This window comes from Homo sapiens, chromosome 9 (genome assembly GCF_000001405.40).
Source record: "Homo sapiens chromosome 9, GRCh38.p14 Primary Assembly".
In the NCBI taxonomy this organism is placed as follows: Eukaryota; Metazoa; Chordata; class Mammalia; order Primates; family Hominidae; genus Homo; species Homo sapiens.
Window position 1 is genome coordinate 35,749,444 of NC_000009.12, and position 23,300 is coordinate 35,772,743.

General features: G+C 45.7%; 2 protein-coding genes across 4 annotated transcripts in view, besides 4 other annotated features; one reads left to right on the forward strand and one right to left on the reverse strand.

Moving 5' to 3' along the window:
• RGP1 (RGP1 partner of RAB6A GEF complex) overlaps nucleotides 1-23,300 on the forward strand; it is a 41,142-nt gene that overhangs the window by 157 nt on the left and 17,685 nt on the right. For 2 of the 3 annotated variants that reach the window (XR_007061382.1, XR_007061383.1), the window contains exons 2-10: nucleotides 294-428; nucleotides 800-936; nucleotides 1,215-1,298; nucleotides 1,397-1,546; nucleotides 1,823-1,969; nucleotides 2,184-2,311; nucleotides 2,513-2,702; nucleotides 3,208-7,754; nucleotides 22,720-22,933. Coding sequence is in view for 1 of the 3 variants with exons in the window: in NM_001080496.3 (NP_001073965.2) it covers nucleotides 313-428; nucleotides 800-936; nucleotides 1,215-1,298; nucleotides 1,397-1,546; nucleotides 1,823-1,969; nucleotides 2,184-2,311; nucleotides 2,513-2,702; nucleotides 3,208-3,431 (1,176 nt within the window). In the remaining 2 variants the exon portion in view is untranslated. Of the gene's footprint in view, nucleotides 1-293; nucleotides 429-799; nucleotides 937-1,214; nucleotides 1,299-1,396; nucleotides 1,547-1,822; nucleotides 1,970-2,183; nucleotides 2,312-2,512; nucleotides 2,703-3,207; nucleotides 9,143-22,719; nucleotides 22,934-23,300 lie in introns of those variants that run through there. The other variant, NM_001080496.3, reaches the window with a different exon arrangement.
• Nucleotides 4-53: a silencer, noted in NCBI's record as "silent region_19877". NCBI's record gives its function as "represses an Ori minimal core promoter by ATAC-STARR-seq in GM12878 lymphoblastoid cells {active_cell/tissue: GM12878}" and the evidence as "EXISTENCE:reporter gene assay evidence [ECO:0000049][PMID:35858748]".
• Nucleotides 84-133: a silencer, noted in NCBI's record as "silent region_19878". NCBI's record gives its function as "represses an Ori minimal core promoter by ATAC-STARR-seq in GM12878 lymphoblastoid cells {active_cell/tissue: GM12878}" and the evidence as "EXISTENCE:reporter gene assay evidence [ECO:0000049][PMID:35858748]".
• Nucleotides 3,447-4,646: an enhancer, noted in NCBI's record as "MED14-independent group 3 enhancer chr9:35752887-35754086 (GRCh37/hg19 assembly coordinates)". NCBI's record gives its function as "activates an origin of replication core promoter dependent on BRD2, BRD4, P300/CBP and CDK7 cofactors, and independent of MED14, by STARR-seq in HCT116 cells {active_cell/tissue: HCT116}" and the evidence as "EXISTENCE:reporter gene assay evidence [ECO:0000049][PMID:35650434]".
• On the reverse strand, nucleotides 3,547-4,833 carry MSMP (microseminoprotein, prostate associated). The gene is made up of 3 exons (NM_001044264.3): nucleotides 4,557-4,833; nucleotides 4,217-4,325; nucleotides 3,547-3,837 (listed from the first exon to the last, which is right to left on the reverse strand). Exons 1-3 carry the CDS (start codon nucleotides 4,684-4,686, stop codon nucleotides 3,657-3,659), a joined length of 420 nt encoding a protein of 139 aa, NP_001037729.1. The 5' UTR covers nucleotides 4,687-4,833; the 3' UTR covers nucleotides 3,547-3,656.
• Nucleotides 7,554-7,873: a silencer, noted in NCBI's record as "silent region_19879". NCBI's record gives its function as "represses an Ori minimal core promoter by ATAC-STARR-seq in GM12878 lymphoblastoid cells {active_cell/tissue: GM12878}" and the evidence as "EXISTENCE:reporter gene assay evidence [ECO:0000049][PMID:35858748]".

Below are 23,300 nucleotides of genomic sequence, written 5' to 3' on the forward strand. Positions count from 1 at the left end.
AACTTTGAGGAAAGGGGGAGCGGAGGCCAGTTTGGGAACTCCGCGGGGGTGCCCAGGGAGAAGAACCCGTCGCACAGGGGCTGGGGTCTAGGGCCCAGAGCGATGTCCTCCCCCTGGGCAGTACTGAGTCTTCAGTCGCCTCCCTCCCACCCGCCTACCCCTCCTATATCCAGGAGCTCCCTCGGGCACCACGGTGCTGACCACCCCTGTCCTCAGCCCTCAGCCCTAGGTGCTCACCGCAACGCCCCTCCCTGTCAAGGTGCTGACCTCCGCCCCGCCTTGTTTCCTTCTAGATCTGATTCCGGAGCTGCCATGATTGAAGTGGTAGCAGAGCTCAGCCGGGGTCCTGTATTTTTGGCTGGGGAGGCGCTGGAGTGTGTAGTGACCGTCACCAACCCCCTTCCGCCCACGGCCACTTCTGCATCCAGGTGGGGATGCTGGCACTGAAGGTGGTGGCCCTTCTGGGAAGAAGCCAGATTATCTCTGGGGCTGAGGCAGAGCTCAGGTTGTCCTGTAGCGACACCACCTCCTCTTGCTCACTGTGCTGTCATTGTAGGAGAGGGCTCTTTAACAGAAGATGTGGATGACATAGCTGTACGCTTTCCTTCCCCTCCCCCGTTCCCCTTTTTACGCACAGTCTGCTACTCTTTATTTAATGGTTTCTCTTTGGGATTGTGGATTTCCTGATCACTAGGACAGCCATCTAACCTTGTTGGTTAAGATGGTGTGATAGGGAGCTTGGGAAAGCATTTGTGAGGTCAGGAACTACCTCTGATGCCTCCTTTTCCTTTTCCCACAGTGAGGCCCTGGCCTGGGCCAGTGCCCAAATCCACTGCCAGTTCCATGCCAGTGAGAGTCGAGTAGCACTGCCTCCTCCTGACTCTAGTCAGCCAGATGTCCAGCCCGACAGCCAGACTGTCTTTCTGCCACACCGAGGTTAGAGAGGGGCATTTGCCTGGGAGAGGGGGGGTGCGGAGGGTGTGTGTGGAGGCATTGTCACCCATGGGTGAAGTTGTTAATTGTTCTTGTTCTTATAGTCCCTGTCATGCTGGGGATGTTGGGGAGCATGACTATTGCTTTAGGGGTAGAAGACTATTCCCATTTCACAGCAGGGACGGAGGGCCTGGCAGCCTTTCACTATCTCCACTTGCCGTGCTAGTCTTGTTCAGTACTGGACAATGGGTCATTAAATTAGTCATTTTTACCTTTTTCAGGTGAGAGGGGCCAGTGTATCCTTTCTACTCCACCGAAAATTCTATTCTGTGACCTGAGGCTTGATCCTGGAGAGTCCAAATCATGTGAGTGATTGTCCCCATCCCTGAATTGCCTTCTAAGTCTCCTGGAGGGAGGACTCCTCTGGTGCCTCTGGCTGTCCTGACAACTACTTCCCAACCAGACTCCTACAGTGAAGTGCTGCCCATAGAGGGACCACCCTCCTTTCGGGGTCAGTCAGTCAAGTACGTCTACAAACTGACCATTGGCTGCCAGCGTGTCAACTCCCCTATCACTTTACTCAGAGTCCCTCTGAGGGTTCTTGTGCTGACTGGTAAGCAAGGGCTCCTGGAGGGAAGGGCTGGGGAAGGGCGATGCCAAAGCAGAAATTGTCTTAGAGGGCTTGCAAGAGGGACTGCAGGGAAACTTCCTGGTCTCAGTGACAGTGCTAGGGAGTTGGGAAGGGAGGGAGGGTTCTGGAGATAGAGATGTAAACCTCAGCCCTGGCACCCCTTACCTTTAGCCATCTCATGTTAGAATCTAAAACCCTAACCTCTACTCTCATCTCCGTTCCCTCTCAGCATTACCTCTCCACTCATTCTTTCTCTAGGCCTTCAGGATGTCCGGTTTCCCCAGGATGAGGCTGTAGCCCCATCCAGTCCATTCTTGGAGGAGGATGAAGGTGGGAAGAAAGATTCATGGCTAGCTGAGCTGGCTGGGGAACGCCTAATGGCTGCCACATCCTGCCGCAGCCTCCGTGAGAATTCTTTCAGAATTGTCCTACCCCATCCTTCCCCTCATTGTTTTCCCATCTCAGAGACAGTCTCCTAACCACCACACACTTCTGTGGATCCACTGATACCTGACACCTCCAATTTTAAAGAAAAGCCCCATCTTTTGGCCTGTGGTGCCCAGTCCTAGACGTTATCCAGTATGTAGACTCCAGGCTTATAGTGTCCTATTCTCCCCAGATCTATACAATATCAGTGATGGCCGAGGGAAAGTTGGGACGTTTGGCATCTTCAAATCTGTGTACAGACTTGGCGAGGACGTGGTGGGGACCTTAAACTTAGGGGAAGGAACCGTAGCTTGTTTGCAGGTAAGAAGGGAGCAGAGCTTCTTACCTGCTGGGGTGCTGGGGTTGAAGGGCTAGGGTGGAAGGCCTGTATAAAGAGGGGTGGCATGTAGAAGGGGATAGTGGGGTCATCCAGGGTCCCTTTGTAAAACAGCTTGAGGTTGGGCTGTCCTCTCACCTACAGACAGCACTTCCTGTTAGCACACACCTGTCTCTTGCTCCCAGTTTTCAGTCAGCTTACAGACCGAGGAGCGTGTACAGCCTGAGTACCAGCGGCGACGTGGGGCAGGGGGTGTCCCCTCTGTGTCACATGTGACTCACGCCCGGCACCAGGAATCCTGCCTACATACAACTAGAACCAGCTTCTCCCTCCCAATCCCTCTCAGCTCCACCCCAGGCTTCTGTACAGCCATTGGTGAGACCCTCACTGTTACTGGAGAAGGGAGAGGGGGACAGTAAAATGCTGTGCTAAGGGAGGGTGTAATGGATCCTGATTCCTTATACACACTCCCAGACATACCCACGTCTAGCCTCTGACCCGGAACAGTTTCTCAGACCTTCAACCTCTTCCTGTTTCTTAGATGCACTGACCCCTAAACTCCTAACAGCTTGATAGAACTCCTTCCCCACACCTACCTACTAGGACCCTGTGATACACTGATTTTTGATTACTTCATGCTACCTAGACTTGACTGCCTCACTCTTAGGTTATTAGGTACTTAATACTGCTATCTTCAGCTCACATCTGTGGTAGTACCCATTGCTTCAGAAAAACCCTTAATCACAGCTCCCTGCCCTGTGACTTTTCCCTGTCTTCCTGAACACAGATTGTTTTCTTCTCATTCACTAACTATATCCTGTCATTGGCTTTTACTCCTGCTAGCTTCTGATGCTTCTACCTTAATCTTTTTCTTCCATAGTGTCCTTGAAGTGGAGATTGCATTTTGAATTTGTAACGTCCCGAGAACCAGGATTGGTACTCCTACCCCCTGTGGAACAGCCCGAACCTACCACCTGGACAGGACCTGAGCAAGTACCTGTAGACACCTTCAGCTGGGACCTGCCCATCAAGGTGCTGCCTACTAGCCCCACCCTGGCCTCATATGCTGCCCCAGGCCCCAGCACCAGCACCATAACCATCTGAAACTGGCCCACCCTGGTGCTAGTTCCTTCCGGATACTGAGAACTCAGCACCTGGACTCTAATGGGACCCACTTTTTCCACCTGGGGTCCAATGTCGTGGACAGTGAGAGTCGGGCTTTCAGCTATAGCATTAATTTATTTGTTCAGAATACATTGGCAGCTGCTAGTGGTTTCCCTGGAAGTGGCAGCAGCAGTGAGCAGTCAGCAGATGGATGATCAGTTGAGTTTAGCTGGAGTGGGGAGCAGGAGCCCCAGGAACAGGGGTGTTGGCTGAGCCCCATTCTGGGTCAGGCCCTCCCCCTTTGCAGGGCAGCCGAGGGTCAGATTTTTGCACCAAGGAGAACTGGCAGGTTCCTGCCTCCTGACGTACCTCACACCCAGCCGGGAAGTCGATGGGATGCTGGGACCTGGGGAACCAAGGATAGGGGAAGGAGTCAGCACAGTGAAAGGCTGCCTTTATCCCTGCCCACATGTTCCCTCTCTCACAGTTTTCCCCCCACAGAGCCCCTTTCAGTGGCCCCTTGGTCCTCCTAACTAAGCTGTCACCTACCATATGTGGGCCTTTTTGTTTTATAACAGGAGTATTTTCTCTCCAGGTCCACCCCAACCTCCCCTGATTTATAGCCTGAAGCCTTATCTTTCACACTAGTGTTGGTCCCTTCAGGTTTGGCCCATCTTGTATTGCTCTTCTGTTCATTCTTACATCACAGCAATCTAGTCACTCCCTGGTCATCCCTCAGTCACTCATATCAGAGTCATTCTCTCTGGCCATCTTTGGTCACTCACGTGTCACAGCAGCCCACGCCAACAGGATGCAGACAGGTGCAATGGAAACAGTCCTTGCGGAGCCAAGACTCACCCAGGGTAAAATATTTCCCCTCATAGTGACAGGGGGCTAGGGAAGAACGGGAAATGTTAGTAGGTGTAGGAGTGCTGATGAGAGGCAGAGGCTCTTCTGGTCTGGGGTGGAGACAGTAAGTACGCACTATCCCCGTATTTAGTTTGTCTTTCCTGTTTCACAGCTGGAGGAAGCCTGGGTATTTTGACACGGGATCATCTGTAAGGCCCCATCCTCCCTGTGCCCTCTCTGCTGCTCCTCCATTCCTAACGCTTCACCCCACTTTACCTTGAGCTTGGAAGTAGCACTTGCTGTAGACTCCTGGGTGCTGGAGGAGTAGAGACATCACCAAGCAGATGATCCCCCAGCCTCCTAGGATCCCCTTGGCCTGTCCAGCCCAGAGCATCCTTAGGGCCATTGCTGCTGCACAGCCCTCTCAGACCCTTCTTGGCCTCTGCTCAGCTACTCTGGTCTTGACTCCTTGACTTTGCTTTGCGTTGCTCCTTGAGTCTTAGTTTCTGTCTTTCTCCCCTGGGCTCCTGTCTCACACTATCTCCCTGCCCTCTGCTCTCACAGGCTGGGGATGTTTATAAAGTGAGGACCCTGGCCCCCTGCTGAGTAGAGCTGGAAAAGTTGTAACTCTGTTTCCTGAGGTGAGGGCATGAAAACAAGAGGTCTAGCTTTAACAAGCTGTGAGAGCTGATTCATGCCCCGGCACAGCTAGAGGGAGGGAGGTGGCCATGGAGGGGGCACTGGACTGGGCACTTCCCCAGCAAGGAGGCAGGAGGGGCGAGGGCCCCCAGGTGGTCCCCAGATCTCTTCCCTGACCTGGAGAGAAGGAAGCATTCCACCTTCCCCCTTTCTCCCCCACTGCCACCACCAGGGGTGTGTATGCTGGGATCCCTGCCTGGACCGGAGGGAGGCATTTCCTGGGGATGGTTAATCCTGTGCCCCAGCCAAACCCAGGAGCTGCAATAGGGTGCGACGGCCAGAAGCTCCAGGAGAGTGAGCAGGCACCTGGAGTGGAGACTGTGTTTCCCTCAGATCCTAGGGCAGGGTTTCCCTAATGTATCCAAGAAATAGGGCTGCCCCTCAGAGATGGTGGGGAGGGTCTCTTTTCCTCAGGCATTCCAGAGGTGAACTGTCCATTGCTTATCACCTTCAAACATACAGCAGATGTGGGATCACCCCACATCTGGGGATGGTTCTTTCCCCTTTCAAAGAGGAGCATCTCTAAGTGCCCTGATGGGATGAATCACTCCAGGTTCACAGAGGTGTCCTCTCTTTCCTCCCATATATAATGGAGTGAGGTTTTTAGGAATTTATCATTTGGCATCCTCTGAGTTTCCCACAGGTTCTGGAGGAGCCCAGGATGGATTATTGAGAGCATGGGCTGTAGAGACAGTCTTCTTGGATTCAGATCCTGACTCCACTTAGCTATGTAACCTGGTCAGATTACTTCACCTCTCTGAGCCTGTTTCCTCATCTATAAATTGGGGATAGTAATGCCAACTCATTGGGCTGTTATGAGGATTACTGAGATAATGCGTGCAGTGCTCTTATCACCATCTCTGGTGCGTAAGCGTCAGGAAATAGCAGTTGCTGTGATTGGGGCTAAAGCTCTGAGGCAAAATGGGCGACATTATTTTCTTTGAATGACATTAAGCAGTTTGTGCATAGCTGAGGGCTTCTATTGGGGATGGCTGTCTCCTGGCATAGACCTCTGCACCTTTCACACTCATACTCCTTGTCAGCAGTCCCCAACCTTTTTGGTACCAGGGACCGGTTTTGTGGAAAACAATTTTTCCACCAGTGGATGGAGGGGGATAGCAGCGGGGAGATGATTTTGGGATGAAACTGTTTCATCTCAGATCATCAGGCATTAGATTCTCATAAGGAGTGTGCAATCTAGATCCCTTGCATGCGGAGTTCACAGTGGGGTTTGCACTCCTGTGAGAATCTAATGCCTCTGCTGATCTGCCAGGAGGAGGAGCTCAGGCGGTAATGCTCACTCGCCTGCCGCCCACCTCCTGCTTTGTGCTCCCGCTTCCTAACAGGCCACAGACTGGTACTGGCCTGTGGCCTGGGGGATGGAGACCCCTAATCCATGTCACCTTTCCCACCTCTTTCAAAAACAGGTACCTCCAGGAACATTTTGGTTTTGGCCCTTGTATTGACTTCTGAATGTCTAGTTTGAGAAACTGTTCCCAATAAGCCTTCTTCCCCCAGATCTGCACCCTCGCCTCTACCCTAGGACAAGATGTCCTTTTCTCATCATCCTGCCAGGCTAACTTTAAGTCTCCTGCTTTTTCTCACTTGGATTTGGATCCATTTCTTCCTATTTCCGCTCATGTGAACTCTCCAGTTCTCCTTTCTCACCACTCTCCTGCTAGCCATCTCTTTGGCACTAAAGGCCCTGGTCAAATTGGATTTCTTTCATTTTTCCACACTTCAAAGACCCATGTTCTAGGTATTCTCCATAGGGATAGTCTCTTTGGCATTTATTTGGTTTTTCTACGTTTTCAGTCCCATTTACTCCAAGACTCACTCCCTGCCACCTAGTGCATCAGATACAGCTACTTCTGGCTGACTTTTCAAGGGGGACCACCCTACCTGTCATCTCTTCACTGTTCAGAAATGACTGTGTCAGTGCACCTCAAACTCCCTTGCTGTCCTTTTCCAAGGAGACAGCTAAGGTGGATGGAGATGCAGAATGGACCTCACGTTCGCCCTAGTCAGGACTGATACCCTTTCCGTTTCAGAGGATTGCCAAGAAAAAACTCACAGTTGAGGCAGGGTGCTCTGAGGTCGGCTGCGGTGTGGGAGGCACGGCCTGGGCCTGCTCTCTGGGCTGGAGCAGGTGGATTCGAAGGCCTGTCTAGCACGAGGGCCCAAAGGTCTTGTCAGTGGCCAGTAGCTCTGCCGCCTTTCCCAGAGAGGGGGTCCAGGGGACATCCTGGAAGGCTGGGCCCTGGGCCACCTTCTGCTCTTGCAAGCTAGAGCCAGCCCAATAGGGGGCGGATGTGAGTGGGGAGCTGGGGCGCATGAAGGTGGGGGTGATGCCGAAGGGGAAGGGATCGCCAGTGGGGATTGGTGCGTGTGCGGAAACGGGGACAGAAGTGAAGGTTCATCGCCTATAACGAAGATGAGGTAGGCATATAGGGGCTTCTGGAAAGCTAGAGGCTGGGCTGAGCCAGGAGTCCTCTCCCAGAAGTTGGGGGGCGGTGCAGAGGTGTGGGTCGAGCCCGCATGCGTGCCTGCTGGGGAGGGGGTGAGTGGTGAGGACCAGGCCCGCTGGGTCCTGGGGGCGCGGTGGCTGGCGCGCAGGTCCCGGAGGGGGCGGCTGGCGCGCACTACACGCTTGGGAACAAGGAAAACATCCGCCGGAGGCCCGGCCGGGCGGCGCTCCAGCCTCGGGGCAGGTGCGCGGAGAGGAAGTGAGAGCATTCCGGCCCCCCCACCCCAACCCCGGCCGCTGGCCCTCTGGTGAGTCACAGCCGACCCCCGCCGCCGGAGGGAGAGGGGAGCTGCGGGCCAGAGCCCCGGAGGGTCTGGAGGAGCCAGGAGGGTTTCTGGGAGCAGAGGGTCACTTAGTGGGCTTCTGTCGTGGTGTCGCTACGGGCGCGAAACGGACACTGAACACAGTCTGACTGTATGGAGGCAGGTGGGGAGGGATCCCCTGGGAGAACTTGGCGGGCCGAGAGCAGACCCCAGGGCAAGGAGGGGCCCCCGAGGGGGAAACCGGGAGTCGGGCAGGTGGCGTAACCCAGAAAGGGAAGGAGAGCCGGATTGATTGGGGTGAGAGAGGAAGGAAGCACGCCAAGTTAGGCCTGGGAGAACTGAGGGACCTGAGGAGGGAGGAGGGAGACCAACACAGGGTGGGAAGGCGGAAATGGCCAAACCCCAGGCATCAGGTCTGTCCAGAGGCTGACGTAGACAGTGAAGGGTGAAGGGTAGGTTTTAGGAGTAGGGGGAGTTATGATTATTTGGTTACATTTTGGGATTATTTGGTCTCACAGGTAGAAGGGAGCCTGCTGGTCTCTGTGTAACGGATGGCTTAAAAGCAAGGTTGTCTGCGTCTTGGATTACTGTCTGCCATTCAGCCTTTGCCAAAAAATTTGGCACTGATCTGCACATTTTTATAGTCATTTAAAATTGTATGACTCTGTCAAATGATTTAAGTAATTTTGGTGGATTTTTAAAAATAAAAAAATAAAAATAGAAAAGTTGCACAATCTAATTCAATATTTGACTTAAAACCAAAAGTGAGGCTCTCAGATTGGTAATATGGTATTCAGCCTTTTTCTTGTTTGGCTTTTGTGCCATTTGCCCCTCACTGACTTGATTGAATTCTTTGTGGCTGATGCCTCAGTTTTTCTGGATCAGTAGTGCTGCACTTCCACTTTTCCTCTCCCTCATTTTACTGTCTTTATTTTTAGCCTTTTTTCTGTGTAGCCCTCTAACCTGCCCTTTATATTTTGAACCAAATAAAACATTTCTTGGAATGGGAGCTTTGGACTACAGTATACAGACAAACAACTCACAATTTTAGCATATGAGGCTACTATCTTCTGTGGATGTGTATGTAATTATACAGTTTCTGTATTTATCCTGTGGCTGATAGAAAAAGTTAAAGCTGTTTAATTCACCATAGTATTTCTACAACACAGCAATTTATTAGTCTGACTTCTCTTCTAAAATCAACTCTAAAATGGTATTTTGTACTTGTCTCAGAGACGAATTCTGCCATGATCCTTATGATCTGTGTTATGTTGGGCCAAAGGTGATTACTTTATAAATTATAAAGATCCCTAAACTCTGCATTGCCTTTGGTCCCAAACAAGCAAATCTGGGTCAATTAATGAAAAAAAAAAGAAAAGAAAAGAAAATGTCTTACTTTGGGCCCTGTTGCACTCTCCCGTGCTGTTTTAGCCCCAGCCCTACTCTATTCCCAGTGGCCTTTGCCTTCATTCCTTCTTTGCTCTGCTGGGCATCTTGAGAGGAAAACTTCACACCGACTTCCTCTACTATAAATTCTCTCCCTCCTCTCAACTCTACACTTCTCTTTGCCAACATACACCACTACTGCTTCACTGATTTTTTTTTTTTAAGCCCACAGTCCTTTCTGGCTCTTTTCCACCTTTAACACTCTTATGTTGAAATCTTCCGTTTTTCCTCCTTTCTCTTTAGTAAGACCTCAGGTTTTTAAAAAAGCTAGGCTTGATTGTTTATTCTGCATGGTCCACTTCTGCCTTCCTTCCTCTTCTATTACCCTTTTCTTATTCTAGACTGTTTTTAAACTCAGTTATGCTTGCTTTCACCAAAGCCTTAACCTTTCCTGTGATTAGAAAAAGATGCTTATGTTTCCATTACTTTTCCTACAAGAAAACGCATTCTCAAATTCATATCCACTTCAAACTCTCCCAACGTTTTGCATCCAGAAGCATAAAGTGGCCATTATTGTGAAGTCCACTGAGTGACCATTTAAGCTTGGTGTTATGCCACACACTGTATAGTGAATTTCATAATCCTGGTGCCAGATTTCTAAATTATTACAGACAATAGATGATGGACTGGGCACAGTGGCTCACACCTGTAATCCCAACATTTGGGGAGGCCGAGGCAGGCAGATTGCTTGAGACCAGGAGTTTGAGACCAGCCTGGCCAACATGGTGAAACCCTGTCTCTAAAAATACAAAAATTAGCTGGGTGTGGTGGCGCGTTCCTGTAATCCCAGCTACTCTGGAGGCTGGGATGGGAGAATCACTGGAACCTGGGAGGCTGAGGCTCCAGTGAGCCGAGATTGCATCACTGCACTGCACTCCAGCCTGGGTGACAGAGGGAGACCCTGTCTCCAAAAAAAAAAAAAAAAAAAAAAAAAAAAAAAAAGAATTCTTTGCTATGAAACTGAAATTGCTTCTCCACTTTCCCTTCCCTCTCATGATCTCTCCTCAGTAAAACCAAGGTGCATTTTTCTGGACCCACCTATCTTGGGGGTGATTAGGAGTAGAGGGTTGTAAATACTTAAAATTTTTTTCCTTTCTGATATAATTATTGATCTCCTTCTAGAAGTCCTGTCGTCTTTGCTGGAGAATTTTTATTTAAGCATCCTTTTGTAGAAGAATCTCTAATGTCCTTTTTTCATCCAGATCTACACTTGATGAATCCTAAAGCTATTTCTACACAGTTCCTTTATTCATTTTTCCTTTTTTTTTTTTTTCATTTTTTGTGCCTGTTATTTTTCATGGGTTTATCATCTCTTTACAAATGGGCTGCGTCCACTGAGGGGCAGCATTGATTTCCCGCTGCTGTCACTCAGCGCCTCAGCCTCCTTTGATCCCTTTTTTGGTTCACCCTTGTTGCCCATACTTACTTTCCTTTATTGTCAGTTCTAATCTTCTCCTTTTCTATCTCTTTAATGAAATTCACCATTTTAAAAAAGATTTCTGGGGTCTCAAAAGTTTTTCAGGGGATCTCGCATAAGTCTCTGCATTGTGACCTAAACTGTGTAGCACTGATTTCCAATGGATTGGGGCTGATGGGCGGGGTGGGGGGCCATTGTTGGGAGAGCAGAATATCCTCATGAATAGAGTTTCTCAGTGACACTGTTAACATTTTGGAGGATAATCCTTTGTTGTGGGGGGCTGTCCTGTGCATCGTAGGATGCTTAGCATCTGCTCAGTAGATGCCAATGATATTATCTCAGATGTGACAACCAAAATGTCTCCAAATCCTGCCAAATGTTCCTGGAAGACAAAATATACCCTCTACTCCAGTGTATAGAATTACTGTACTAGAATATCAGCTTTTTGAAATTGATTAAATGGTTATACTTTCTCTTCCCAACTGCTGATTTGTAGCTGGAATTTTAAAAGTGTGGTCTTTGACTTACTTGGTAGGTGGTAGCTTCTTAAAATTGCAGGTTCCTGAGCTTATCCTAGACCTACTGAATCAGAAACGCTGAAGGTAGAACCCAGAGATCTGATTTTTACAAGACACTACCTTCCCACCCCCAACCAGGTAATTCTGCCCTAGGCTTGACCCTCCTGTGGCATAACTGCTGCATTATCTACATTTTTTTCTCCTGCAAGTCTTCCTGGTGTTCCAGCTTTGCTTCCGCTTTTGGCCCCATGATGCCAACACAAATAAGGAGGCCTCAGGTTACCAAGACAACTGGAGCACAGGAAACTGTACAGGCTCAGTGCTCCCACAAGCATCATGGACTGTGATTATGCTGGCTTGCTTTCTCCTTAGGGACTCAGCCATACTTCCTTTTCCCCATCCCCAAAACTACCCAGACTGGCAGAGACTGAGGCCCAAGCCACAGATCCTGATTTCACAGACCTGGTAGTAGATTTATGGGGTGGGTAGGATAAGGAATGATGAATGAAGCTTTCCTTCTAGCATTGATATTTCATGTCATTTTGGTGATAATTGAATTTGTAATCATGAGAACTACATTTCCCTGGGAGTTGGTTGTTAGATGCAAGTTTTGGAATCAGGATGCTTCTCTTTATTTATTATGTTATTTATGCCTGCTTCACTGGACCTTGAGTCTTAGATGTTTTTGCATCCCTAGCTAAATGTCTTTACAATTTGCTTTGGGCCAAAAGGTTTGGCAATCTACTTCTAGTACACTGGAAGCAGCTAATGTTCAGTAAGAAAAGAATATTTTTAGGGCCAGGTGCATGGCTCATGCCTGTAATCCCAGCACTTTGGGAACATGAGGCAGATGGAGTGCTTGAGTCCAGGAGTTCAAGACCTGCCTGGGTAACATGACAAAACCCTGTCTCTACAAAAAAGAATACAGAAATTAGCCAGGTGTGGTGGTGCACTCCCGTAGTCTCGGCTACTTGGGAGGCTCAGGTGAGAGAATCACTTGAGCCTGGGAGGTCGATGCTGCAGTGAGCCATGATTGTGCCACTGCACTTCAGCTTGGGTGACAGAGCAAGACCCTGTCTCAAACAAACAAACAAACAAACAAAAAACCCCAAAAAAACAAAAACAACCAAATAATGAATTTGGGTTCTATTTACACTTAGTTATCAAAGCTAGTCATTTTTTAAAGGAGGATCATCTGGCTTGATTAAATTAAGTTTCCTTAAAGCCACAAATAAATGAAAACCTACTTGCACTTAGATGCTTTAAAATACTGACTCTGACTGGGTGTGGTGGCTCACACCTGTAATCCCAGCACTTTGGGAGGCCGAGGCAGGCAGATCACTTGAGGTCAGGAGTTTGAGACCAGCCTGGTCAACATGGTAAAACCCCCCATCTCTACCAAAAATACAAAAAATTATCCAGGCATGTTGGCACATGCCTGTCATCCCAGCTGAGGCAGGAGAATCACTTGAACCTGAGGCAGAGGTTGCAGTGAGCCGAGATCAGTGTGAGATTCTGTTGAAAAAAAAAATTCAACTTGATCCAAAACAGGAGCAGGCTGCCTCCATGGTATATTCATGTCATGCCAGAGCAAGAGCAAGGGAGAATACAAGGAAATAAGGCAGACATGATAGCTCTCCTCAGACAATTGAAGGACTGTCATGATGAAGGAGCAATTAGATTTACTGGTTTAGTTCCAGAAGATAGATTAAGAACTTTTATTTAGTGATGGAGGACAAATTTTGGCTTGATAAGGAAATTTTGACTCATTTGAGGACCCCAAAGTGGAATGAACTGAATTGTTAGGCAGTAAATTTTGGCCATATTGTTCATATAGAGGTTAGATGACCGTTTGCACAAGGGTCGGATGAGGTTTTAGACATTAAATTGGGTTCAACCTGCAAGGAGAAGCAGGCAGATTTAGGAAAAGTCAATTCGCCCTTTTTCTGTCATATGATTCTGTGGCACTATTAAATTCATTATTATTTTTCTAGGCACCTCTGTCAATTTTACCCCCTCAAGTAATTGATAATAGAGTTGATAGTAAAGTCTTTAGAGATTTCTCAAACTTTGTTCCTCAGCCCTCTGGAGATTTCTGAAGGATGCCTCAGAAGTGGCTGAGAAGGGTGAAATGAAGGCTAGCTGGGGCTCTGAGCCCTTTTACCTATGCTTCAACCAGAACAATCTTGCTTTTATTTGTTTTACAAATTAAACGTACTGGCTTCCTTGAAGATTTTCTTTTTAACGGAAAAAAAAAAACAGTTCTGCTGTTAAAAAAAAAAAGTTAAAGGCTCTGATATTTCAAGGTGTTCCTTTTATTGAAAGGGAAGCTGAGATACGGAAGAAGTGTCTTGCCAGAGGTCACACAGCTAGTAAATTTCAGAGCTGGGATTCAAATCTAGCTCTTCTAGTTCAAATCTTTTGTTTCTTCCACTCTACAAGTCTGCCTTGTTAGAATTCAATGAAAGCTTCTCTCCATTCTACTGGCCACCACTGTAATCCAGAATCTCATTTCTTCTAATTTACTATTCTGTATTAGCCACTTAACTAGTCTCCTTGCTGTCTAATTCTGTTCTATATTATATATACTGTTGCCATTTTATTCTTCTTGGAACATTGTTTTCGTCCTGAGATTTCCCTGTTTAAGAACCTTCTCCCTATCTCTTAGAACTTTTCAGGCTAACCTTGTGTTAGCATTCTTTAGGATCCTCATTGTTCAGCTGAATGAGAGCCTAAATCCATCCTATTATGAGTAATTAATGGGCTATATAATAGTGAGATTAACGGAGTCCCTCCCTATTCCTAGACTTCACCTTTGGCAAGATTTTCATGTGTACAGTTTTAATCAGGCATGACAAGAAGATACAAAAGAAACAGAAAATCACAGCCCATAAAAAGCAAGTTACATAATAATATGAATAATACAATCCTATTTATATCTCACATGCATGCATTTTTTAAAACAAGAATGAGATATATAGAAATTGCCTGGAAGAAAACACATCAGACTGGGCGCGATGGCTCACGCCTGTAATCCCAGCACTTTGAGAGGCCAAGGCAGGCAGATCACCTGAGGTCAGGAGTTCGAGACCAGCCTGGCCAACATGGCGAAACCCTGTCTCTACTAAAAATACAAAAATTAGCCGAGTGTGGTGGTGTATGCCTGTTATCCTAGCTGCTTGGGAGGCTGAGGCAGGAGAATCGCTTGAACCTGGGAGATGGAGATTGCAGTGAGTCAAGATCTTGCCACTGCACTCCAGTTTGGGCAACAGAGTGAGACTCCATCTCAAAAAAAAAAAAAAAAAAAGAAAAGAGAAAAGAAAAAACTCATCAGACTGATGACAGACATTAACTCTGATAAGAGAGATTGAGAAAGGAGAGAGAGGAGGGGAGGAAGAGGGACTTCCTTTTTTTACTCAGGAGGCTGAGGTGGGAGGACGGCTTGAGGCTAGGAGGTTGAGGCTGTAGTGAGCCATGATCATGCCACCACACTCAGCCTGGGAGACAGAGTGAGACCCTGTCTTGAAAATAAAATAAAATAAAAAGAAGAAGAAGAAAAAAGAAGTGAAGTGTTTTGTTTTCCCACAATGGAGATCTTTTGAAGCATTATCCTTTTGGGAAAAAGTTAATTTCAATTCTTAGCACTTGGTCTGATTTTTAAAAATTCGACTTAAGCTAATGATGAGAAGTGTGCATATTCACACTCTTTAACTCCTGTGGATTGGATAACAAATTAACCTCCATTTCCACTGGACAGAGAACTCATTCTTCCGGTATGTTTCAGAAGGCTAATGGAGCAAGGATAACCTTATATTACTAATGGGCTGCTTAATCTCTATAATGATTTGTTGGCCAGCTACTATTGATAACAAAAAATACTTTTAAATAACTGTTTCAAAATACTTTTTTCAACTTTATTGAAATATAATTTATATACAGGAAGATGTACCCATTTAAAATGTACAATTCAGTGAGTTTTAGCAGATGTATATACCTGTGTAATCATCTTCCCAGTCAAGATGTAGAACATCTCTGTCACCACCCCACCACTGCCCCCAAATTTCCTTATTACCCTTTGCATTTACTCCTCACTCATTGCAATCCACACTGATCTGGTTTCTATCACTGTAGATTTGTTTTGTAGAGTTTCATGTAAATGGAGTCACAGAGTATGTATTCTGCATTTGGCTTCTTTAACTCAGCACACTGTTTTTGATATTTATTCATGTTTTTATGTATATTAATAGTTTGGCCAGGCACGATGGCTCACTCCTATAATCCCAGCACTTTGGGATGCCGAGGTGGGCAGATCATGGGAGGTCAGGAGTTTGAGGCCAGCCTGGCCAACATGGTGAAATCCTGTCTTGACTAAAAATACAAAAACTAGCCAGGCGTGGTGGTGCACACCAGTAGTCCCAGCTACTCAGGAGGCTGAGGCAGGAGGATCTCTTGAACTCAGGAGACAGATTGCAATGAGCCAAGATGGCGCCACTGCACTCCAGCCTGACAACAAAGCAAGACTCTGTCTCAAAAAAAAAAAAAAAAGAAGTCCATTTTTATTGCTGAGCAATAATTCATTGTATGGACATACAGCAGTTTGTTTATTCATTCATCTGATGATGGATATTTGGGCTGTTTTCCACTTTTTTGGAAGCTGCTATGAACACTCACATTTAAGTCTTTGTGGACATATGTTTGCATTTTTTTAAGATAAATGCCTAGAAGTGAAATCTTAGATCCTGTTGTAAGTGAATGTTTTACTTGATAAATAAAAGACTGCCAGTTTGGTGCAGTGGCTCATGCCTGTAATCCCAGCACTTTGGGAGGCCAAAGCAGGCAGACTGCTTGAGTCCAGGAGTTTGAGACCAGCTTGGACAACATGGTGAAACCCCATCTCTACAAAAAATACAAAAATTAGTTGGGTGTGGTGGCCCAGGCCTGTAGTCCCAGCTACTCGGGAAGCTGAGGTGGTAGGATCATCTGAGTGTAGGAGGCGGAGGTTGCAGTGAGCCATGATCTTGCTTCTGCACTCCAGCCTGGGTAACAAAGCATGACCCTGTCTCAAAAAAAAAAAAAAAAGTTACTGATTTATTCATAAAATAAGATAAATTTTTAAAAAAGAGAAGTGCCATACTGTTTTCCAAAGAGTCTGTACCATTTTCCACTTACCAGCATTATATGAGAGTTCCAGTTGCTTTGCATCCTTGTCAGCACTTAGTATTGTCAGTTTCTTCTTTCTTTCTTTTTTTTTTTTTTTATGAGACAGAGTTTCGCTCTGTTGCCCAGGCTGGAGTGCAGTGGCATGATCTCGGCTCACTGCAAACTCCACCTCCTGGGTTCACGCCATTCTCCTGCCTCAGCCTCCTGAGTAGCTGGGACTACAGGTACCCGTCCCCATACCTGGCTAATTTTTTTATTTTTAGTAGAGACGGGGTTTCACCATGTTAGCCAGGATGATCTCGATCTGACCTTGTGATCTGCCCACCTCGGCCTCCCAAAGTGCTGGGATTATAGGCATGAGCCACCGTGCCGGCCTTAGTATTGTCAGTTTCTTAAAAAAAAAAAAAAAAAAAAAAAATCTAGTAGGTGTGTAGTGCTGCCTCATTGTGGTTTTAATTTGCATTTTCCTAATGTTTAATGACATTGAGCATCTTTTTATGTGCTTTCTTGTCACCAGTATCTCATATTTGGTGAAATCTATTCAAAGTATTTGCCCATTTAAAAAACTGGAATGTTTGGCTTCTTGTTACTGAGTTTTAAGAGTTCTTTATATATTCTGGATACAAGTCCTTTGTGAGTATATGAATTAAAAATATTTTCCCCTAATTGGTGGCTTGCCTTTTTATTTTCTTTATAGTGTCTTTTGAGGAGCAGAAGTTTTAAATTTTGGTGAAGTCTAATGTTTTGCTTTTTTCTTGTATGGCTAGTGTTTTTTGTATCCTGCATAAGAAATCTTCCCTTACACCAGGTCACAAAGATTTTTTTCCTACATTTTCTCCTATATCTAAAAGTTTTATGATTTCAGCTTTTACATTTAGGTCTTTTATGTCTATGATCCATTTTGATCGCATGCTTAATTTTGTTCTCACTGCACAAAAGACACAGTAGGAAAGGAAGAATCTGGAATAAAGATGACTGCCTCTTTCAAAAGACAGGTTGTAGAATAGAAATATTAAACTTTTGTTCTGTGTATTATATTATCTTCATCTAATATTGATTAAGTAGTAACTGTTCAGTAGTAAAATATATATAGATTACCTACTCTGAGTCAGGCACTGGAGATACAGTAATGAAAACACTAGACAATGTCCTTGCTCCCTTGGAGTTTATATTTGAGTGGGTGAAATTGTGTTTTTATTATAATGAGCCTCCATTGTATATACAGTAAAGTCAAGAAAAATGTTGTTGCCTCTCTGTGATTTCTCAAAACCTCAGTTGAAGGAAGCATTTTAGATTGTTGGTAATCTTCTTAATATTATTGTATGATAGAGCATGAACCTCTTTCCAAAAAGAGTCACTGATCTGCAGAGAAAAGGGAATCTGGGGCTGCATACGGCCAACTATAATACAATGTGTCATGTGATAGAGCAGTACTGCATGCAGAATCATATCAAATGATCTCATGTTCCTGTTACTGTTGAGGTGTAATGACCAGCCTTAATGCTCTTTTCTTTGGTTTAAGCAAATTGGTTTTTTTTTTTTTTTTTTTTTGCCGAAAGAGTTCATTAATACTACATTTAGAGAACTCTTAGATCTCTTTTCTGATAGCCAGAGGACCAGATACCTTCTATAATTAGCCATTCATGTGTTCCTTAAAATGAGTCATACTATGTGTTAATGATACCACCATTCTTCAAGCCACTTCAAGTATCAAAAATAAGTTCCATTTACTATTAACATTTATAAACTAATACCAATATTAAATAGCCAAATAATAAATAGGGTTAAATCAGAGCAGGATGAGCTCTATGATCTAGTCTTGGATGATGAGTAGGATTTCAGTAGATACAAATAAAGAGGGCAGATTAATTTATATTGATGGATTTGAGGAAAAAGATTACATCAGCAAATACGTTATTCATGGCTTGATTCCTTTATCATCTATCCATAGCAGACATCATTAAATTCATCATGGCATTCTTTCTTGCTGAGCCTGGACATAGCCTGGTAAGACTAGAACTAGATAATAGGAAAAGAAATGTAGACATTAAGTGGACATTTGTTGTTGTTGTTGTTTTGCACTCTGTCACCCAGGCTGGAGTGCAGTGGCACGATCTCAGCTCATTGCAGCCTCCGCCTCCCAGGTTCAAGCGATTCTTGTGCCTCAGCCTGAGTAGCTGGGATTACAGGCGCCCACCATGACACCCAGCTAAGTTTTTGTATTTTTAGTAGAGACAGGGTTTCGCTATGTTGACCAGACTGGTCTCCAACTCCTGATCTCAGGTGATCTGCCCGCCTCAGCCTCCCAAATTGCTGGGGTTATAGGCATGAGCCACTGTGCCTGGCCAGATTTTTTTTTTTTTTCTTTAAGACAAGGTCTGGCTCTGTCGCTCTGATGCAGTGGCTCACTGCATCCTCCCACCTCACCCTCCCAAGTAGCTGGGACCACAAGCATGTGCCACCACTCTTGGCTAATTTTTGTGTTTTTTGTAGAGATGAGGTTTCACCATGATGCCCAGGCTGGTCTTGAACTCCTGAGCTCAAGCGATCCACCCACCTTGGCCTCCCAGAGTGCTGGGATTACAGATGTGAGCCACTGTGCCTGGCCGTGGACAGGTTATTTTGAAAGAGACATCAGTGAGACTTTATGGAGATGTCTGACCCTGGAGGTCAAGATGTGGGGCATTCCCTATGTGCAACAGGGAAGCCCTTGGCACAGAGACTATGAAGGGTTTCTGTTGCATGCATCTGAGGGGTGCAATAGGTATCACAACCACACTCAGAAAAAATAGTGCCAGGGGAAGATGGTGCAATTTATTCTGCCAGAGGGTACCACTCAGGCTATCTCCAGGCTGAGAGAGACCCTGGAGTTATACTAGCACAGAGCTGGACCATGGTTGCCAGCAGAGTAAGCAGCAAACAGGGGCAAAGGAACATTGGCCTGGAGATCTTAAGAAGCTAGAGGAGCACTTCCTCAAGGGTTGCAACTTTTTCCTGCTGCTATGAAGTCCCCTTCCCCTGATATATCCAGATCCATCTCAGGTAGATAAGCAGGAGAGGGGTTGCTATCTGAGAGACTGAGCAGTTTTTATTCAGGAGAGTCTGAGCAGTACCTAAAAAGACATTAAATGATCAGATAGGACTACGTTAAACTGGTTTGGGGGCTTAAGAGGGACAATGTAGGCAACTGTGAAGATGCACAAGACCTTCATGTGAGTAGAGGGTGCCCTCAGCTCACCCACCACTTTCGATAAACTGAGGCAGGACTGAATGTGGAATGAGGCAGGCCTGTTTACTGTGTCCAGGAGGGACTGATTGGGCCCATTTGAGATAAGTTAGGTAGCAAGCGGCCTAGCTGAGCAGGGGGCTAGGTGCACTCAGCTGCAGGGGCACTGCGTGCCCATGTGTACCTGCCTCAGCACCACCAGTGTCACAGCCCTGGCTGCACCCATTGCCAAGGAAGAAAGAACCATGTGGTTGAAACACATCTACTGTACCTGGCCCTGTCAGACTTGGGAGGACAGGTTCTTGTCTTGTTGTCCTTGATGCTGTTTCCATCAGCATCCACCTGTTATCTCTCCTCACCCTGAGGAGCTCAACCCACCCTGATTTTGTCATTCATTTTTTTTCTCATTCGCTCATTCTTTTATTGAGTCTGTTATGCCATGTACTGTGCTAGGCACTGAGGACACAGTATTTTGTAGAGATAAGGGAATAAACACACATGAATACAATGAAGTTTGAGCAATATTAAGCTTCAGAAATATTACTGAGAAAATACAGAGTCTTATTGGAGTACACATATTTGGGAGAACATAGTTTGTAAAGGAAGTAGGAAGGTTTGTGCTGTGATCTAATAATGATTTTGAGGTAATCAGATGAAAAGTCGGAAGAAAGTTTCAGGCAGAAGGAACAACGTGCAAAGATGAGAGAAATTAAAGGAACAAAAGTTCAGTGTGTCTAGAGTGTAGAGGATGAGGAAGAGGGATGTGACGTGAGATGAGGCTGAAGAGAGGCAGGGACCTGACCATGGGGCACCTTGAAATTCAGGATCAGTTGTTTGTATTTCATCCTAAGCACAATGGGAAGCTATTCAAGAGTTTTATGCAGAGGATTGACTTTGCCAGCACTGCATTAAAAAAATTAACTTAAAAATTTTAATGTAGTTCAAATCTGCATGTCTGGTTCATTTCAGCTCCTTCACTGCCAAACCTGGGGGCAGGGACTGCTTCAGTTTCTCCGCCTAAGATTCTTACCAGTACTGCATTTTGAATGTTTTATAGTGTGGGTTGGAGTGGATCAACACTAGATGCTGGGAGACAAGTTAAGGGATTGTTAATTAGTCCAGATGAAGGATGATGGTGGTTTGAACTGCATAGGGTAGAGGTAGTAGGGAAGATAGATTTGGGGCATATTTTGGAGGTATGTCCAGCAAGGCTTAGATGTGGAGAGTAGTGAGGGAGATGGAGAATTCAAGAATAACTGAGGTTTTTGGCTGAGCACCTATGTGGATGATAGTGTCCTTTGCTGAGTAGGAGAACACTGGGTGGGAAGATATTTTGGAGGAAAATCATGTGTCTTGTTTGGATGTTGAGTTCAAAGTTCTTACAAGACCATCAAGTGAAGATATCCTGTGGGCAATTAGGTATATGATTTGAAAGCTGATAGAAATGGACTGGTGATTCATTCTTGGCACATAGAAATTGGTTATTGGAGCAATGGGCATAGGTATTACCATGGAGAGAGAGAGAGAGAGAGAGAGAGAGAGAGAGAGAGAGAGAGAGAGTTGAGTGGAAAACGAAATCTAGAATAGATCCCTGAGGATCATCAATCAACCCAGGGGCAGGTAGAGAAGGAAGGGTCAGTAAGAGACTGAGAAAGAGCTGCCAGCTGGTTGGAAGAAACCTGGACAGTGTGGTGTCATGGAGGGTGTACCACTACAGTCAGCTGTAGGGGAGTGTTAAGAGTGTTTGGCTGCACTCCTGGAGATGCTTAGGTTACTTATAATAATTGAATGAGTGAGTAGGCTACAGAGGATCAGAGGAGCACACCTGGAGCTCCCAGCCTCCGCTAAGCATCTCCCTAATAAATAGAGCAGCCTTCTGCCTGTCAAATCTGAAGAAAACCTGAACTCCAGGAAGTAGCAGGGGTTCAGAGGAAAGAACAGGTACTCACACAGGCGTATTATATCTTCAGGGTAAACCTTTAACCTGGTGAGGTTTGGTAGGATCAGAGTGAATTTCAGTCTCTGGATCTGAAGCATCCCATTAATTTTGTTGCCCTTTTATCATTTCTAGAAGCTGAACTTAATTTTTTTCTCTGTCTTTGCCTCTATCTTTGCCCCTCTGATTCTCTAGCCCAGTTGATTCTCCTTGGCTCTTGATCTTGGTTTAGTTTGGCTAGCACTCCTTTTCTGAGGAGTAACTTCCGTAACAAATATTTATAGTAACCCCTCTGCTTGGCTGGCAAGTCCCGGAACCAGTGTCCTTACACACTGTCCTAAAAAGCAGTCAGCCCGGAGCACAGCCAGCTTTATTGGCCTAGATATGATTAGATGCTTCCTTTACCCCTTCTGGAGGTGTTAGTGGTTCTGAGCCTTGGAAGTTCTGTTCTCCTTAACCATCTCCTTCTCTCCCGTTTTGCTTTTCTGAAACATATTTATTAGCTAGATGTTAAGGTTAGTAGTTCTACCCTTCAGTGAAGATTGATGAAAAATTAGCCCAAAATTGCTGTCTTCTAATTCCAAAAATCTATAATCTCTATGTTCTGTGAATTGGGTCTGAGGCTAGCTCTTAGCTTATTTCAGGACCTAAATTTAACATACCCTGGGTTTAAGTGGTGGGTTGTAATTTCTATGTAGGAGAAGCTTAAGGGGAGAAATCTGATTGGAAGAGAAGGGAGGCAGTTAGGTTTGCCTTAAAGCTGAGTACACAAGAGTAATCTGGCTGTAATCCAGCTGGCTGGGACTGACTGCCAGAAAAATTAAAAAACAAAGATGTGATTGATAAAAATGTGTACTTTGTTCATGTAAGTGAGTTTTAAAAATGTAGACTCTAAGACCTTTTTTCTCTATCTTCCGTTTGCCAATTATTGCATTTACATAGTTTCTTCCTTCCTTCCCCAAACAAGGTATAACACCATAAACCTGAGAATTTTAGACACATGCTTTGCTCACTTTTTTTCTATTTATGTATTATTTTTATTTGGTTTGCTTTTGGGGGAGGGGAGGCAGGAGTTGCCATTTGTGCCAACAACTCTTTCTCAAATATTCCAAGCAATCTTTTCCTTGGGGAGTTGTACTACACAATTCTATTAATTACTGTTGTGCAATATTGAGATACCTTACATATGTAGCAACAGTGACACATATGCCCACACCCAGTGAAACAAGGTCATTTTCTACTGTCAGTTATATGCATCAAGGTGACAGGTGACGGCATGGTTATGGATTAACTCACCAAGGAAATGAGTGTGGAAAGAAGAATGCAGAAATCTGAGGACTAGAGCCTGGAGATGGGGAGCTTCGAGCTCAGAGGAAGAAGAGGATCTTCATCACGGGGAGACATCAGCTGGATATTGAGATGGAAGGATGACTATGAGTATGAGCTATTATAGAAACCATGGTAAGAGTTTTAAGTAGATGACAGTAACATCAAATGTGACTGATGTGTAACTGGAGGAACTTACTGTCATATGCAAACTAACAACTCCACTGTATTCTTCTTCATCCAGATCATTTGTAAAAATTTTATACTAGAGGCCAGGCGCGGTGGCTCACGGCTGTAATCCCAGCACTTTGGGAGGCCGAGGCAGGCGGATCATGAGGTCAGGGGATCGAGACCATCCTGGCTAACACGGTGAAACCCCATCTCCTAAAAATACAAAAAATTAGCCGGGCGTGGTGGCGGGCGCCTGTAGTTCCAGCTACTCAGGAGGCTGAGGCAGGAGAATGGCGTGAACCTGGGAGGCGGAGCTTGCAGTGAGCCGAGA

Coding starts and splice junctions, on each gene's coding strand:
- MSMP (NM_001044264.3), bottom strand. CDS start 4,686: ATGGCCCTAAGGATGCTCTGGGCTGGACAGGCCAAGGGGATCCTAGGA. Junction 4,326..4,556: donor GTGCTACTTCCAAGCTCAAG/GTAAAGTGGGGT, acceptor GTTCTTCCCTAG/CCCCCTGTCACTATGAGGGG. Junction 3,838..4,216: donor GGCGTGGGCTGCTGTGACAC/GTGAGTGACCAA, acceptor TTGGTTCCCCAG/GTCCCAGCATCCCATCGACT.